Consider the following 18,635-nt stretch of genomic DNA (forward strand, 5'->3'; position numbering starts at 1 on the left):
CTCAGCCTGCCGAGTGCCTGCGATTGCAGGCGCACGCCGCCACGCCTGACTGGTTTTCGTATTTTTTTGGTGGAGACGGGGTTTCGCTGTGTTGGCCGGGCTGGCCTCCAGCTCCTAACCGCGAGTGATCCGCCAGCCTCGGCCTCCGGAGGTGCCGGGATTGCAGACGGTGTCTGGTTCACTCAGTGCTCAATGGTGCCCAGGCTGGAGTGCAGTGGCGTGATCTCGGCTCGGTACAACCTTCCACCTCCCCAGCCGCTGCCTTGGCCTCCCAAAGTGCCGAGATTGCAGCCTCTGCCCGGCCGCCACCCCTTCTAGGAAGTGAGGAGCGTCTCTGCCTGGCCGCCCATCGTCTGGGATGTTAGGAGCCCCTCTGCCTGGCTGCCCAGTCTGGAAAGTGAGGAGCGTCTTTGCCCGGCCGCCATCCCATCTAGGAAGTGAGGAGCGCCTCTTCCCGGCCGCCATCCCATCTAGGAAGTGAGGAGCGTCTCTGCCCGGCCGCCCATCGTCTGAGATGTGGGGAGTGCCTTTGCCCCGCCGCCCCGTCTGGGATGTGAGGAGCGCCTCTGCCCGGTCGCGACCCCGTCTGGGAGGTGAGGAGCGTCTCTGCCCAGCCGCCCCATCTGAGAAGGGAGGAGACCCTCCACCTGGCAACCGCCCCGTTTGAGAAGTGAGGAGCCCCTCCGCCCGGCAGCCACCCCGTCTGGGAAGTGAGGAGCGTCTCCGCCCGGCAGCCGCCCTGTCCGGGAGGGAGGTGGGGGTCAGCCCCCCGCCTGGCCAGCCGCCCCGTCCGGGAGGTGAGGGGCGCCACTGCCCAGCTGCCCCTACTGGGAAGTGAGGAGCCCCTCTGCCAGGCCACACGCTCCGACCGGGAGGGAGGTGGGGGGGTTAGCCCCCCGCCCGGCCAGCCGCCCCGTCTGGGAGGTGTGCCCAACAGCTCATTGAGAACGGGCCAGGATGACAATGGCGCCTTTGTGGAATAGAAAGGCGGGAAAGGTGGGGAAAAGATTGAGAAATCGGATGGTTGCCGTGTCTGTGTGGAAAGAAGTAGACATGGGAGACTTTTCATTTTGTTCTGTACAAAGAAAGATTCTTCTGCCTTGGGATCCTGTTGATCTGTGACCTTACCCCCAACCCTGTGCTCTCTGAAACATGTGCTGTGTCCACTCAGGGTTAAATGGATTAAGGGCGGTGAAAGATGTGCTTTGTTAAACAGACGCTTGAAGGCAGCATGCTCGTTAAGAGTCATCACCACTCCCTAATCTCAAGTACCCAGGGACACAAACACTGCGGAAGGCCTCAGGGTCCTCTGCCTAGGAAAACCAGAGACCTTTGTTCACTTGTTTATCTGCTGACCTTCCCTCCACTATTGTCCTATGACCCTGCCAAATCCCTCTCTGTGAGAAACACCCAAGAATGATCAATAAAAATAAAATTTAAAAAAAAAGAAAAAAAGAAAAAAAAAAAAGAAAAATCTTTCAAGATTTTTTTTTGTTAGAAATAACTGTTGCAAGGATATGTTTATGATGCAAAAAAAACTGCATTGCTTGCATGCAAAAAAATCTGCATTGCAAAAAAACCTGCATTGCTTGCAGCTGCAAGAGATAACATTCCTTCAAACCTTGCTGAGACTTTTTTTTTATTATTATACTTTAAGTTCTAGGGTACATGTGCACAACATGGAGGTTTGTTACATAGATATACATGTGCCATGCTGGTTTGCTGCACTCATTAACTTGTCATTTACATTAGGTATTTCTCCTAATGCTATCCCTCCCACGACAGGCCCCAGGGTGGGATGTTCCCTGCCCTGTGTCCAAGTGTTCTCATTGTTCAATTCCCACCTGTGAGTGAGAATATGTGGTGTTTGGTTTTCTGTCCTTGTGATACTTTGCTCAGAATGATGGTTTCCAGCCCCATCCACGTCCCTGCAAAGGACATGAACTCATCAATTTTTTGGCTGCATAGTATTCCATGGTGTATATGTGCCACATTTTCTTCATCCAGTCTATCATTTTTGGATCTTTGGGTTGGTTCCAAGTCTTTGCTATTGTGAATAGTGCCACAATAAACATACGTGTGCATGTGTCTTTATAGCAGGGTGATTTATAATCCTTTGGGTATATACCCAGTAATGGGATGGCTGGGTCAAATGGTATTTCTAGTCCTAGATCCTTGAGGAATCGCCACACTCTCTTCCACAATGGTTGAACTAGTTTACACTCCCACCAACAGTGTAAAAGCTTTCCTGTTTCTCCACATCCTCTCCAGCATCTGTTGTTTCCTGACTTTTTAATGATTGCCATTCTAACTGGTGTGAGATGGTATCTCATTGTGGTTTTGATTTGCATTTCTCTGATGGCCAGTGATGGTGAGCATTTTTTCATGTGTCTTTTGGCTGCATAAATGTCTTCTTTTGAGAAGTGTCTGTTCATATCCTTTGCCCACTTTTTGATGGGGTTGTTTGTTTTTTTCTTGTAAATTTGTTGGAGTTCATTGTAGATTCTGGATATTAGCCCTTTGTCAGATGAGTAGATTGCAAAAATTTTCTCCCATTCTGTAGGTTGCCTGTTTGCTCTGATGGTAGTTTATTTTGCTGTGCAGAAGCTCTTTAGTTTCATTAGATCCCATTTGTCAATTTTGGCTTTTGTTGCCATTGCTTTTGGTGTTTTAGACACGAAGTCCTTGCCCATGCCTATGTCCCGAATGGTATTGCCTAGGTTTTCTTCTAGGGTTTTTATGGTTTCAGGTCTAACATTTAAGTCTTTAATCCATCTTGAATTAATTTTTGTGTAAGGTGTAAGGAAGGGATCCAGTTTCAGCTTTCTACATATGGCTAGCCAGTTTTCCCAGCACCATTTATTAAATAGGGAATCCTTTCCCCATTGCTTGTTTTTGTCAGGTTTGTCAAATATCAGATAGTCGTAGATATGTGGCATTATTTCTGAGGGCTCTGTTCTGTTCCATTGGTCTATATCTCTGTTTTGGTACCAGTACCATGCTGTTTTGGTTACTGTAGCCTTGTAGTATAGTTTGAAGTCAGGTAGTGTGATGCCTCCAGCTTTGTTCTTTTGGCTTAGGATTGACTTGGCAACGCGGGCTCTTTTTTGCTTCCATATGAATTTTAAAGTAGTTTTTTCCAATTCTGTGAAGAAAGGCATTGGTAGCTTGATGGGGATGGCATTGAATCTATAAATTACCTTGGGCAGTATGGCCATTTTCACGATATTGCTTCTTCCTACCCATGAGCATGGAATGTTCTTCCATTTGTTTGTATCCTCTTTTATTTCATTGAGCAGTGGTTTGTAGTTCTCCTTGAAGAGGTCCCTCACATCCCTTGTAAGCTGGATTCCTAGGTTCTTTATTCTCTTTGAAGCAATTGTGAATAGGAGTTCACTCATTATTTGGCTCTCTGTTTGTCTGTTATTGGTGTACAAGAATGCTCTTGATTTTTGCACATTGATTTTGTATCCTGAGACTTTGCTGAATTTGCTTATCAGCTTAAGGAGATTTTGGGCTGAGACGATGAGGTTTTCTAAATATACAATCATGTCATCTGCAAACAGGGACAGTTTGACTTCCTCTTTTCCTAATTGAATACCCTTTATTTCCTTCTCCTGCCTGATTGCCCTAGCCAGAACTTCCAACACTATGTTGAATAGGAGTGGTGAGAGAGGGCATCCCTGTCTTGTGCCAGTTTTCAAAGGGAAAGCTTCCAGTTTTTGCCCATTCAGTATGATATTGGCTGTGGGTTTGTCATAGATAGCTCTTATTATTTTGAGATACGTCCCATCAATACCTAATTTATTGAGAGTTTTTAGCATGAAGGTTGTTGAATTTTGTCAAAGGCCTTTTCTGCATCTATTGAGATAATCATGTGGTTTTTGTCTTTGGTTCTGTTTATATGCTGGATTATGTTTATTGATTTGCGTGTGTTGAACCAGCCTTGCATCCCAGGGATGAAGCCCACTTGATCATGGTGAGTAAGCTTTTTGATGTGCTGCTGGATTCAGTTTGCCAGTATTTTATTGAGGATTTTTGCATCGATATTCATCAGGGATATTGGTCTAAAATTCTCTTTTTTTGTTGTGTCTCTGCCAGGCTTTGGTATCAGGATGATGCTGGCCTCATAAAATGAGTTAGGGAGGATTCCCTCTTTTTCTATTGATTGGAATAATTTCAGAAGGAATGGTACCAGCTCCTCCTTGTACCTCTGGTAGAATTCGGCTGTGAATTCATCTGGTCCTGGACTTCTTTTGGTTGGTAAGATGTTAATTATTACCTCAATTTCAGAGCCTGTTACTGGTCTATTCAGAGATTCAACTTCTTCTTCGTTTAGTCTTGAGAGTGTATATGTGTCGAGGAATTTATCCATTTCTTCTAGATTTTCTAGTTTATTTGCATAGAGGTGTTTATAGTATTCTCTGATGGTAGTTTGTATTTCTGTGGGATCGATGGTGATATTCCCTTTATCATTTTTTATTGCATCTATTTGATTCTTCTCTCTTTTCTTCTTTATTAGTCTTGCTAGCGGTCTATCAATTTTGTTGATCTTTTCAAAAAAACAGCTCCTGGATTCATTGATTTTTTGAAGGGTTTTTTGTGTCTCTATCTCCTTCAGTTCTACTCTGATCTTAGTTATTTCTTGCTTTCTGCTAGCTTTTGAATGTGTTTGCTCTTGCTTCTCTAGTTCTTTGAATTGTGATGTTAGGGTGTCAATTTTAGATCTTTCCTGCTTTCTCTTGTAGGCATTTAGTGCTATAAATTTCCCTCTACACACTGCTTTGGGTGTGTCCCAGAGATTCTGGTATGTTGTGTCTTTGTTCTCGTTGGTTTCAAAGAACATATTTATTTCTGCCTTCATTTCGTTATGTACCCAGTAGTCATTCAGGAGCAGGTTGTTCAGTTTCCATGTAGTTGAGCGTTTTTGAGTGAGATTCTTAATCTTGAGTTCTAATTTGATTGCACTGTGGTCTAAGAGAGAGTTTGTCGTGATTTCTCTCTTTTACTTTTGCTGAGGAGTGTTTTACTTCCAATTATGTGGTCAATTTTAGAATAGGTGTGATGTGGTGCTGAGAAGAATGTATATTCTGTTGATTTGGGGTGGAGAGTTCTGTAGATGTCTATTAGGTCCGCTTGGTTCAGAGCTGAGTTCAAGTCTTGGATATCCTTGTTAATTTTCTGTCTTGTTGATCTATCTAATATTGACAGTGGGGTATTAAAGTCTCCCATTATTATTGTGTGGGAGTCTAAGTCTCTTTGTAGGTCTCTAAGGACTTGCTTTATGAATCTGGGTGCTCCTGTATTGGGTGCATATATGTTTAGGATAGTTAGCTCTTCTTGTTGAATTGATCCCTTTACCATTATGTAATGGCCTTCTTTGTCTCTTTTGATCTTTGTTGGTTTAAAGTCTGTTTTATCAGAGACTAGAATTGCAACCCCTGCTTTTTTTGTTTTCTTTCCATTTGCTTGGTAGAGCTTCCTCCATCCCTTTATTTTGAGCCTATCTGTGTCTCTGCACATTGAGATGGGTTTCCTGAATATAGCACACTGATGGGTCTTGACTCTTTATCCAATTTGCCAGTCTGTGTCTTTTAATTGGAGCATTTAGCCCATTTAAATTTAAGGTTAATATTGTTACATGTGAATTTGATCCTGTCATTATGATGTTAGCTGTTAATTTTGCTCATTAGTTGATGCAGTTTCTTCCTAACATTGATGGTCTTTACAACTGGCATGTTTTTGCAGTGGCTGGTACTGGTTGTTCCTTTCCATGTTTAGTGCTTCCTTCAGGAGCTCTTTTAGGGCAGTCCTGGTGGTGCCAAAATCTCTCAGCATTTGCTTGTCTGTAAAGGATTTTATTTCTCCTTCACTTATGAAGCTTAGTTTGGCTGGATATGAAATTCGGGGTTGAAAATTCTTTTCTTTTCTTTTTTTATTATTAAGTTTTAGGGTACATGTGCACAATGTGCAGGTTTGTTACATATGTATACAGGTACCATGATGGTGTGCTGCACCCATTAACTCGTCATTTAGCATTAGGTATATCTCCTAATGCTATCCCTCCCCCTTCCCCCACCCCACAACCGTTCCCAGTGTGTGATGTTCCCCTTCCTGTGTCCATGTGTTCTCATTGTTCAATTCCCACCTATGAGTGAGAATATGCGGTGTTTGGTTTTTTGTCTTTGCGATAGTTTGCTGAGAATGATGGTTTCCAGCTTCATCCATGTCCCTACAAAGGACATGAACTCATCGTTTTTTATGGCTGCATAGTATTCCATGGTGTATATGTGCCACGTTTTCTTAATCCAGTCTATCATTGTTGGACATTTGGGTTGGTTCCAAGTCTTTGCTATTGTGAATAGTGCCACAATAAACATATGTGTGCATGTGTCTTTATAGCAGCGTGATTTATAATCCTTTGGGAATATACCCAGTAATGAGATGGCTGGGCCAAATGGTATTTCTAGTCCTAGATCCCTGAGGAATTGCCACACTGACTTCTTTAAGAATGTTGAATATTGGCCCCCACTCTCTTCTGGCTTGTGGAGTTTCTGCCGAGAGATCCACTGTTATTCTGATGGGCTTCCCTTTGTGGGTAACCTGACCTTTCTCTCTGGCTGCCCTTAACATTTTTTCCTACATTTCAACTTTGGTGAATCTGACAATTATGTGTCTTGGAGTTGCTCTTCTCGAGGAGTATCTTTGTGGCATTCTCTGTATTTCCTGAATCTGAATGTTGGCCTGCCTTGCTAGATTGGGGAAGTTCTCCTGGATAATATCCTGCAGAGTGTTTTCCAGCTTGGTTCCATTCTCCCCGTCACTTTCAGATACACCAATCAGACGTAGATTTGGTCTTTTTACATAGTCCCATATTTCTTGGAGGCTTTGTTCCTTTCTTTTCATTCTTTTTTCTCTAAACTTCTCTTCTTGCTTCATTTCATTCATTTGATCTTCCATCACTGATACCCTTTCTTCCAGTTGATCGAATCAGCTACTGAGGCTTGTGCATTCATCATGTAGTTCTCGTGCCGTGGTTTTCAGCTCCATCAGGTCCTTTAAGGACTTCTCTGCATTGGTTATTCTAGTTAGCCATTCATCTAATCTTTTTTCAAGGTTTTTAACTTCTTTGCCATGGGTTCGAACTTCTTCCTTTAGCTCGGAGTAGTTTGATCGTCTGAAGGCTTCTTCTCTCAACTTGTCAAAGTCATTCTCCGTCCAGCTTTGTTTCATTGCTCGTGAGGAGCTGCATTCCTTTGGAGGAGGAGAGGTGCTCTGATTTTTAGAATTTTCTGTTTTTCTGCTCTGTTTTTTCCCCATCTTTGTGGTTTTATCTGCCTTTGGTCTTTGATCATGGTGATATACAGATGGGGTTTTGGTGTGGATGTCCTTTCTGTTTGTTAGTTTTCCTTCTAACAGTCAGGACCCTCAGCTGCAGATCTGTTGGAGTTTGCTGGAGGTCCACTCCAGACCCTGTTTGCCTGAGTATCAGCAGCGGAGGCTGCAGAACAGTGGATACTGGTGAACAGCAAATGTTGCTGCCTGATCGTTCCTCTGGAAGTTTTGTCTCAGAGGAGTACCTGGCCATGTGAGGTGTCAGTCTGCCCCTACTGGGGGTGCCTCCCAGATAGGGAATCAGGGGGTCATGGGGTCAGGGACTCACTTGAGGAGGCAGTCTGCCTTTTCTCAGATCTCAAGCTGCATGCTGGGAGAACCACTACTCTCTTCAAAGCTGTCAGACAGGGACATTTAAGTCTGCAGAGGTTTCTGCTGCCTTTTGTTTGGCTATGGCCTGCCCCCAGAGGTGGAGTTTACAGAGGCAGGCAGGCCTCCTTGAGCTGCAGTGGGCTTCACCCAGTTGGAGCTTCCCAGCTGCTTTGTTTGCCTACTCAAGCCTCAGCAATGGCGGGCACCCCTCCCCTAGCCTCACTGCCACCTTGCAGTTTGATCTCAGACTACTGTGCTAGCAATGAGCGAGGCTCCATGGGCATAGGACCCTCCGAGCCAGGCACAGGATACAATCTCCTGGTGTGCCGTTTGCTAAGACCGTTGGGAAAGCGCAGTATTAGGATGGGAGTGACCCGATTTTCCAGGTGCCGTCTGTCACTCCTTTTCTTGGCTAGGAAAGGGAATTCCCTGACCCCTTGCACTTCCCGGGTGAGGTGATGTCTCGCCCTGCTTCGGCTCACACTTGGTGCGCTGCACCCACTGTCCTGCACCCACTGTCCGACAATCCCCAGTGAGATAAACCCAGTACCTCACTTGGAAATGCAGAAATCATTCGTCAGATTCTGTGTTGCTCACGCTGGGAGCTGTAGACTGGAGCTGTTCCTATTTGGCCATCTTGGCTCCACCCCCCTCCTGAATTATTATTCAATCAACAATGAAATCAAGATAGAAATTTAAAAATTCTATAAACTGAATGATAATAGTGACACAACCTATCAAAACCTCTGAAATACAGCAAAAGTGGTGCTAAGAGGAAAGTTCATTGTATTAAATGCATACATCAAAATGTCTGAAAGAGCACAAATAGACAATCTGAAGTCACATCTCAAGGAACTAGAGAAGCAAGAACAAACTAAACCCAACCCAGCAGAAGAAAATAAATAAAAACGATCAGAGCAGAACTAATTGAAACTGAAGCAAACAAACAAAAGATAAATGAAACAAAAAGCTGGTTCTTTGAAAACTTAAACAAAATTGATACACCATTAGCAAGGTTAACCAAGAAAAGAACAGAGAAGATTCAAATAAGCTCAATTAGGAATGAAACAAGAGATATTACAACCAATGCTATAGAAATACAAAAGATCTTTCAAGACTATTGTGATCACCTTTACATGCACAAACCAGAAAACCTGGAGGTTATGCATAAATTCCTGGAAACACACAAACCTCCTAGATTAAACTAGGGAGAAATAGAAAGTCTGAACAGACCAATAAAAAGGAATGAGATTGAAATAAAATTTTTTTTTAAATTGCCAACAAAAAGTACAAGACCAGATGTATTCACAGCTGAATTCTATCAGATATTCAAAGAAAAATTGGTATCAATCCTACTGAAGCTATTCCATAAAGAAAGAGGGAATCCTGCCTAAAGCATTGTATGAAGCCAATGTCACTTTAATACCAAAACCAGGAAAGGATATACAAAAAAGAAAACTATAGACCAGTACCACTGATGAATATACATGCAGAAATCCCCAACAAAATACTAGCTAACCCAATCCAACAGCATATCAAGAAGATAATCCACCATTGTCAAGTGGGTTTCATACCAGGGGTGCAGGATAGGTTAACATACACAAGTCAATAAATGTGATACATCACATAAACAGAATTAAAAACAAAAATCACATGATCATCTCAATAGATGCTGAAAAAGCATTTGACAAAATCTAACATTTCTTTATGATTAAAACCTTCAGCAAAATCGACATAGAAAGGACATACCTTAATGTAATAAAAGCCATATATGACGGACCCACAGCAAACATTATACTGAATGGGGAAAAGTTGAAAACATTGTCCCTGAGAACTGGAACAAGACAAGGATGCTACTTTCACCACTTCTATTCAACATAGTAGTGGAAGTTTTAGCCAGAGCAATCAGACAAGAGAAAGAAATCAAGGGCACCCAAATCAATAAAGAGGAAGTCAAACTGTCCCTGTTCACTGATGATATGATTGTATACCTAGAAAACCCTAAAGACTCATCCAGAAAGCTCCTAGAACTGATACATAAATTCAGTAAAGTTTCAGGATACAAACTAAATGTACACAAATCAGTAGCACTGCTATACACCAACAGTGACCAAGCTGAGAATCAAATCAAGAACTCAAACACTTTTACAATAGCTGTAAAAAAATACTTAAGAATATTCTTACCCAAGGAGGTGAAGGACCTCTACAAGGAAAACTACAAAACACAGCTGACATCATAGATGACACAAACAAGTGGAAACACATCCCATGCTCATGGATGGGTAGAATCAATATTGTGAAAATGACCATATTGCCAAAAGCAATCTACAAGTTCAATGCAATTCCCACCAAAATATCATCATCATTCTTCACAGAACTAGAAAAAAACAATTCTAAAATTCATATGGAACAACAACCAAAAAAAAAAAAAAAACCCGCATAGCCAAAGCAAGACTTAGCAAAAAGAACAAATCTGGAGGCATCACATTACCCATCTTCAAACTATACTACAAGGCTATAATCACCAAAACATCATGGCACTGACATAAAACTAGGCACATAGACCAATGGAAAAGAAGAGAGAATCCAGAAATAAAGCCAAATAATTATAGCCAACTGATTTTTGACAAAGCAAACAAAAACATAAAGTGGGGAAAAGACATTCTAGTTAACAAATGGTGCTGAGATTATTGGCAAGCCACATGTGGAAGAATGAAACTGGATCCTTGTCTCTCACTTAATACAAAAATTGATACAAGATGGATCAAAGACTTAAATCTGAGACCTAAAACCATAAAAATTCTAGAAGATAACATCAGAAAAATGCTTCTAGACATTCACTTAGGCAAAGACTTCATGGCCAAGAACCCAAAAGTAAATGCAACAAAAACAAAAATAAATAGATAGGACTTAATTAAACTAAAAAGCTTTTGCGCAGCAAAAACAATCATTAGCAGAGCAAACAGACAACCCACCGAGTGAGAGAAAATCTTCACAAACTAAGCATCTGACCAAGGACTAATATCCGGAATCCACAAGGAACTCAAACAAATCAGCAAGAAGAAAGCAAACAATCCCATGAAAGAGTGGGCTAAGGACATGAATAGACAATTCTCAAAAGAAGATATACAAATGGCCAACAAACAGGAAAAAATGCTTAACATCACTAATGATTAGGGAAATGTAAATCAACACTGTAATGCGATACCACCTTACTCCTGCAAGAATGGTCATAATTTAAAAATCTAAAAATAATAGATGTTGGTGGGTCTGTGGTGATAAAGGAACACTTTTACACTGCTGGTGGGAATGTAAACTTGCGCAACCACTATGGAAAACAGTGTGGAAATTTCTTAAGGAACTAAAAGTAGATCGACCATTTGATCCAGCAATCCCATTAAATATGTATAAATATATATATTTATATACCATGGAATACAACTCAGCCATAAAAAAGAATAAAATGATGACATTCACAGCAATCTAGATGGAATTGGAGACCCTTATTCTAAGTGGGGTAACTCAGGAATGGAAAACCAAACATCATATGTTCTCACTTACAAGTGGGGACTAAGCTGTGAGGACACGAAGGCATAGAATGATATAATGAACTCTGGGGACTTGAGGGGAAGGATGGAAGAGAGGCGAGGGATAAAAGACTACACATTGGGTACAGTGTACACTGCTCAGGTGATGGGTGCACCAAAATCTCAGAAATTACCACTAAAGAACTTATCCATGGAAGCAAACACCACCTGTTCCCCAAAATCCCAATGAAATAAAAATAATAATAATAAATGATTTAATTTCACAGAATTTAAAAAAGTTCACTGTTCAGAGTTTATAATAATGAAGTAAGAATGAAAAGTGTAGCAAGTGGTAGCCTCTGGACAATGGGACTCTAGATTTTCACCTTGCATACACTTCTCTGGCATTTGGAAAGAAAGTATACACATGAATATATCACCACTATGATAAAGAAAACATCAAAAAATTGTGTCAGGCCATTGTCAGCCTTGAATGGTCCCATGATCTACTTTTTCATTTGGATATAAAGCCTCATAATGATAGTTCACATTGCTTAATGTGATGCCTAGGCCCATAATTGATTTTTAAAATCAGGACAGCAATTACTTACAGGAAGTTGAACAAGATGGGACGTGATAGGAGAGGCTTAAATGTACTGGATATGGGACAGAGGCCAAGAATCATCTCAGTTAGGATTTGTGTCTCAAATACCTCTGGCCTCTGATTTGCCCATAGTCCTCATACAGGAAATAACAAGACTGTCCAGCATCTTCGTAAGCCTGGATTGCTCACCAGCTTTCATTTCAGCTCCTGTAGGCATCTCCTGAATTAAGCAACACAGAAAAGTCCTCTGAAGTCACTGAATCCCATAAAGGCTCTCTACCTTTAGCACAAGGGAGGTCTTCACCACTGGACAAAGAAGGAACGATAAGGGTAAGTACCAAGAACTCTCTTCTTCCACAGTCAGTTATGATTTTTGCTGTAAGATCATGTCCTTATGCTTCCACCTTGGTGCTACATGCAGGGGGTCACGAGCTTGTTTCAGGAAAAGACAGGAGACATGAAGCTTCCTTTCAGAAACTGAGTGCTGTCAACCCAAACTGTGTGAGCTCTAAATGGTGTCCCCCCTTCTAATTTATCTCCCCATATCACCTCCTTCATTCCAATCATTCAATCTGCCCTCATGGAGAGACTGCTGCCTCTTACATTCATTTAACGAGCAAGGGGACATGCAGGCATTTCTTCCCAGAGTTGAACTGCTATAGAGCCAGTTTCTTTGTTTCACTTACTTTTCAAATTTATTCTTCTTTGCCTATCTGGAAAGGTCTAAGGAAGATATAGATGGCCCAATAATTAAGGAGTGTTTCATGAGGAAAGTATTTACAAAGATGCACAGAGTTAAGGGTCAGGATCCTAAGCAGCAATACATAGGGGAGCACTACTTCCTCCCCTAGGCTGAAACGGACAGGGAAGGAGCAGTTACCATTGTCACTATAGCCATAGCTGTAGCCATAAGGGTGGGAGAGCATGAGCAGGCAAGTGGAGAAGCCCTGCGTGGCCAACGCACAGCCACACAGGCTGATATAGTTTGGATCTGTGTTCCCACCAAAATCTCATGTTGATTGTAATTTCCAATGTTGGAGGAAGGGCCTTGTGGGAGATGATTATTAGATCACGGGGATGGTTTTGCATGAATGTTTTAACACCATCCCCCTTTGGTATTGTTGTTGTGATACTGACGAGTTCTCATGAAATCTAGTTGTTTAAAAGCGTGTAGCACCTCCTCCCTCTCTCTTACTCCTGCTCTCACCATGTGAGACGCCTCGCTCCCCCTTTGCCTTTCACCAGGATTGGAAGCTTCCTGAGGCCTCCCCAGAAGCAGAAGCTGCTATGCTTCTTGTACAGTCTGTAGAGCTATTAGCCAGTTAAACCCATTTCCTTCATAAATTTCCCAGTCTCAGGTATTTCTTTTTAGCAATTTGAGAATGAACTAATACACAGACAGAGAGCCAGGAGATGGAAATCCCAAGGTGCTTTCCTGCTGTCTTCCAGTCTCCTGCTGGTGTCTCCCAGTGTCTCAATTCCACCAGAAACCAGAAATAAAAAGAATCCCACTGATGTGGTACATAGAAGCCACTCTCTTGGGATGTCAAACAGGATAAAGAAGAATGGAAAGCAAATCCTCATGGTAAATGAGACTATCCCTCTCACCTTCTTGTATCCTCCTAATTCCTGGGGCTTTCTCTATCTGATTGATCCCTGTCTCATTTCAGCTCTATCAGACTACTTTAATGTTTGGCTTGTCTTTCTCTACTGTCACTTTTATGCAGAAATGTTTGCATTTGTTAAAAATGCATAGAAAATAAAATGTAATTTTAAAAAGAACATATGTATTTTGTTTAGAATATAAGTTTGGCTGATCTAATAAAGACATGAAGAAGAAATATCTTAAACAAGAAAGTATAGTTGTGCCTCTGGGTCACTAGGTTCTGAATCTACAGATTCAACAAACTACAGGAGGAAACTTTTCCAAAAATAAAGGTGTGGCGGAGTTGTGTATGTACTGAACAGGTACAAACTTGTATTTCTTTGTCATTATTTCTGAAAAACTACAATATAACAAGAACTTATATAGCATTTGCATTTTGTCAGTTATTCTAAATAACTTTAAATGATTTAATGTATCTGGGAGAAAGTGCATAGAGTATATACAAATACCACATATAAGGAAATTGAGCATCTGCAGATTTTGGTCTGTGCTGGGGTTCTGGAAAGAATCCCCTGTAAATACACAAAAATGACACTCTTCGAGATCTGAACTAGAAGCTCCAAAGCATCATACATCAGAATTCCAAAAATTGCTGCTCCCCAGTTCCTAGAGAGTTGCCCTCATCCTTGTGATCCTACATGGTTCCCAGCGACATTAGCATTCCAGTCTTATGGAAAAAGGACGAGGGGAAGGAGAGGCTTTGCTCCTTCTATTAATCCCATGAGCCAGGACTTGCTTCTGTCACTTTTGTGATTCTTCCACTTAACAGCACCTGCTCATGGGATGTCATCCAGCATCAAGGAAAACTGGGATGTGGGTCCTTGTGCTGCTTGTACATTCTCAGAAAGGTTATGTGACCAAAAAAGGAAATCTTGGGGCAACCAGCAGTCTCTTCAGCCCCTGACTGTCTCTGATTCTGTGCTCACATCAAGATTTTTCAGGAACTCCTCAGAAATAATAAATGGTGGGGCAGAGAACAGAACTGGAGTCTCGTGCAGGACTCCAGGGACCAGGGGCTGGTATTGGACCTGCTCTTCATGTTGTGAACCAGGAAAACCCTTTAATTCTCTAGGCCTTAGCTTCATCTTATGTTATATGAGGATAATACCATAGACAGTCTTTAAAGAACATCATAGCATGTTAAACAACATGCTAAATGTTGGTGATACCACAGTGAAAAAGACAGGCATGACTTACTCCTTACGGATCTTCGGGTTTCATGAGGAAGACAAACATATCATACCATACCTATAGATGGACAAACAGTTTAGTGCTCTGAGTGTGGATAACAGAGGTTCTCCTTTTCCTCCCATTTCCTTTTTGGGCCAATCAGAGCTGTGGCAGCTTGTCTCCCTAAGAGAGCTCATGATGGATGCACTCACTCCTGATGCTCCTCTATACTCCCAGAGGAGGATGCATCTTCTTTCCACCTGGAGAGCTCCTGCCCATGTGCATTCTTGGGATTCCAGAGCAAACGTGGCCTCTGATAGGCAAAAAAGAACTCCTGAATTTGTTCCTAAATGGCACGCACTCACCTCTATTTTTCCCTTATTTCATTTGCTTCTCATTCTCTATCTGGAGTTTGTTTAGGTTAATTTTTTTTTTCAGCCCACAATTTTGACTGTCAACTTGGATTTAACTTGAGAATCACTCCTCTACTTTACCCCCCTCTAACATGTATAATCGACACATAGTGGTGCTGGGTCCAAAGGGCTGGTGAAAAAATGGATCATGAGTCAGCCCTGCTGGGCTCACATTCATACTATATAATATATAACCCCCCGGACAAATAATATCCTCTCTTTATACTCTAATTTCATTATCTGCAATACAGGAATAATACTAATTTTTACCTCCTAGGCTCTTCAGATGATTAAAAGAGGCAATACCTAATAAACTGTCAATCAGCTGCTGTTATTCTCCCAAATTAGACCTAATCCTCATTCTCCAGTTGAAATTTGCATGAATATCTCTCTTTACAACCCAAGCCCTACACTTCTCCTATTTCCACTCATGGACTCCTCTCATACAAATGTTTGCATCAACAAAGAAACGCTACCAAAGATCTCCCGAAAGAGAGAATGAAATAGGTTTACATTGTGTATACTCAGCAGAACACTTAGTAGTCCCCCATACATATTCCCACACTTCAATTACCTGCTGCAGTGGCACTCAGGCTCACCCTCACTTACTCTTTCCTCTGTTCTGTTGCTGAGCAATTCAGCTCAGACCCACACCCTACCCAAACACTGTGTACAAAATGCTTCTAGGGGTTCGGCAAAGCCACACTGAGTCCTTATTTTAAAGGCACATCAGTGGTCAATTTCAGGTTTTGGGCACTCATCAATCATTCTTCTCAACACAGATAGAGCTGTCCACAAATAGAATTCTGATGAATGAAATTTTCTTCATCTAATTATATGTGTGTGTTCTAATGCCTTACATTGTGCTTTCATTTTTATTTTCCATTTCATCCAAATCTACCATTGCCATTAGGCTTCTCATGCATGCATTCCTTCATTGAATGAACGTTTATGAAAAGCACATTGTGCTGCTTATGGAATAGGCACTAGGAGTATAAAATGTAAAATGTGGTCCTGTCTGCAATGACTGACACACTGAGTTATTTCTCACCCACCAGGTCCCGCCATTTTCACACATCCTAGCGAAGATCCCATTTTCCTCTGGTTCATAATGCATGATCTTTTTTCCTGTCCAGAGATGACCAGTCCTGGTCATGAGGGTGTCACAACCACCTCTTTGTGTATCTGAATTCCTCCACCTGAGAGAAAATTTCAGGCCCAGGATAGAGTAATCATCGGGTCCACAGCACTGGCTAGATGAGTGGGGGTGTTTTGATCCTAATGTTATCCCCATGTCAGCACAGAACTTGTGTGGCAGTAGAGAGAGGTCAGGCTTCAGAGTCAACAAGAACTGGATTTCAAACTGGATTTGAGGACCCCCACCTTTTGATAGGTGACTTATTCTCTGCGAGTCTCTGATCTCTCCTCTTTAAATGAGGACAGTAAATCCCACATGGCAGGGTGGTGGGGAGAATCAGAGATCAAACAGCTGGTGATCACATCTGGTTTCTGTTTCCAGGGTCATCAGACTGGGGTTTCTGAGCATGGATTCAACCATCCCAGTCTTGGGTACAGAACTGACACCAATCAACGGACGTGAGGAGACTCCTTGCTACAAGCAGACCCTGAGCTTCACGGGGCTGACGTGCATCGTTTCCCTTGTCGCGCTGACAGGAAACGCGGTTGTGCTCTGGCTCCTGGGCTGCCGCATGCGCAGGAACGCTGTCTCCATCTACATCCTCAACCTGGTCGCGGCCGACTTCCTCTTCCTTAGCGGCCACATTATATGTTCGCCGTTACGCCTCATCAATATCCGCCATCCCATCTCCAAAATCCTCAGTCCTGTGATGACCTTTCCCTACTTTATAGGCCTAAGCATGCTGAGCGCCATCAGCACCGAGCGCTGCCTGTCCATCCTGTGGCCCATCTGGTACCACTGCCGCCGCCCCAGATACCTGTCATCAGTCATGTGTGTCCTGCTCTGGGCCCTGTCCCTGCTGCGGAGTATCCTGGAGTGGATGTTCTGTGACTTCCTGTTTAGTGGTGCTAATTCTGTTTGGTGTGAAACGTCAGATTTCATTACAATCGCGTGGCTGGTTTTTTTATGTGTGGTTCTCTGTGGGTCCAGCCTGGTCCTGCTGGTCAGGATTCTCTGTGGATCCCGGAAGATGCCGCTGACCAGGCTGTACGTGACCATCCTCCTCACAGTGCTGGTCTTCCTCCTCTGTGGCCTGCCCTTTGGCATTCAGTGGGCCCTGTTTTCCAGGATCCACCTGGATTGGAAAGTCTTATTTTGTCATGTGCATCTAGTTTCCATTTTCCTGTCCGCTCTTAACAGCAGTGCCAACCCCATCATTTACTTCTTCGTGGGCTCCTTTAGGCAGCGTCAAAATAGGCAGAACCTGAAGCTGGTTCTCCAGAGGGCTCTGCAGGACACGCCTGAGGTGGATGAAGGTGGAGGGTGGCTTCCTCAGGAAACCCTGGAGCTGTCGGGAAGCAGATTGGAGCAGTGAGGAAGAACCTCTGCCCTGTCAGACAGGACTTTGAGAGCAATGCTGCCCTGCCACCCTTGACAATTATATGCATTTTTCTTAGCCTTCTGCCTCAGAAATGTCTCAGTGGTCCCTCAAGGTCTTCGAATAGATGTTTATCTAACCTGACAGTTGCAGTTTTCACCCATGGAAAGCATTAGTCTGACAGTACAATGTTTGGATTCTCCTTGATATTACCAATACATTTTCCCTGTTATCTTGCACTGAATCTTTCCTACTGAACACTTTTTCTGCACTTTTCATTGTAATAAAAGGAGTTGCTGTCCACAACCCTAAAACTCTTCTTTATACTTGTTTCCTACCTGATAGTATCAAAAAGGAAGATTCCTTATTAATCTGTCAGACTATGTTCCCCTGAAAATCATGTTCCCTTCTATGACTGGAGGCATTACTGCAGTTGGAAGCTCAATTCTTAATAAGTGAGTTCTGCTACCTCTAAATTCCATTGAATTCTCAGATATAAAGCAAAATAATGACCTTAGAGAGAGATTCTCCCTTCATAAAAACAGTCTTAGAAATTGGTTTTATGAATAGCCCTCTCCTGTCATTTGTCCACAGCATGGTGACATGTTGGCCTTGGTTTCTAGTAAAGATCACCGTGGCCCCTTCCCCTTGAGAACTGGTAAGTTCTTATTTAGCTCTTCCTGGACTAATGAACTAGTGAGGAGCCTATAAATATGTCCCACCAGTTTCATTTTGGCCATTGGAAACCTCAATATTGATTTTAAAGTGGAAATTATCTTGAAAACCATTTATTATTCACTTACAGATTCTTTCAGTTGTAGGAGAATTCTTCATACTTCCAGGTTTTGTATAAATTGTTCTGATTGTAACTTTCAGTTAGTTTTATGGCTGTTTACATGAGAAGCAAAACTGAAAACATCTGACCTTTCCATGACAATCTCAATTATGGTATCTGGATAATAACTTACAGTTGGTACAGAATTCTGATACATGCTGTGACATACATGAACCTGGAAATATTGTGCTAAGGAA

At 42.4% G+C, this 18,635-nt stretch overlaps 1 protein-coding gene across 2 annotated transcripts; it reads left to right on the plus strand.

The window, feature by feature from the left end:
- Positions 1-383: 383 nt before the first annotated feature.
- Positions 384-17,917, plus strand: MRGPRX3 (MAS related GPR family member X3). Of its 2 annotated transcripts, NM_054031.4 has the most exons (3): positions 384-593; positions 12,043-12,168; positions 16,607-17,917. In NM_054031.4, exon 3 carries the CDS (start codon positions 16,632-16,634, stop codon positions 17,598-17,600), a length of 969 nt encoding a protein of 322 aa, NP_473372.3. In that variant the 5' UTR covers positions 384-593; positions 12,043-12,168; positions 16,607-16,631; the 3' UTR covers positions 17,601-17,917. The 2 variants fall into 2 exon arrangements, with proteins under 2 accessions (NP_473372.3, NP_001357393.1); NM_001370464.1 differs by lacking the exon at positions 384-593 and having other exon boundaries at positions 12,000-12,168.
- Positions 17,918-18,635: the final 718 nt, after the last annotated feature.

Source organism: Homo sapiens, chromosome 11 (genome assembly GCF_000001405.40).
Source record: "Homo sapiens chromosome 11, GRCh38.p14 Primary Assembly".
Taxonomy (NCBI): Eukaryota; Metazoa; Chordata; class Mammalia; order Primates; family Hominidae; genus Homo; species Homo sapiens.

Bases quoted from the DNA above. Each gene is read 5' to 3' on its own strand.
- MRGPRX3 (NM_054031.4), top strand. From the start codon at position 16,632: ATGGATTCAACCATCCCAGTCTTGGGTACAGAACTGACACCAATCAAC.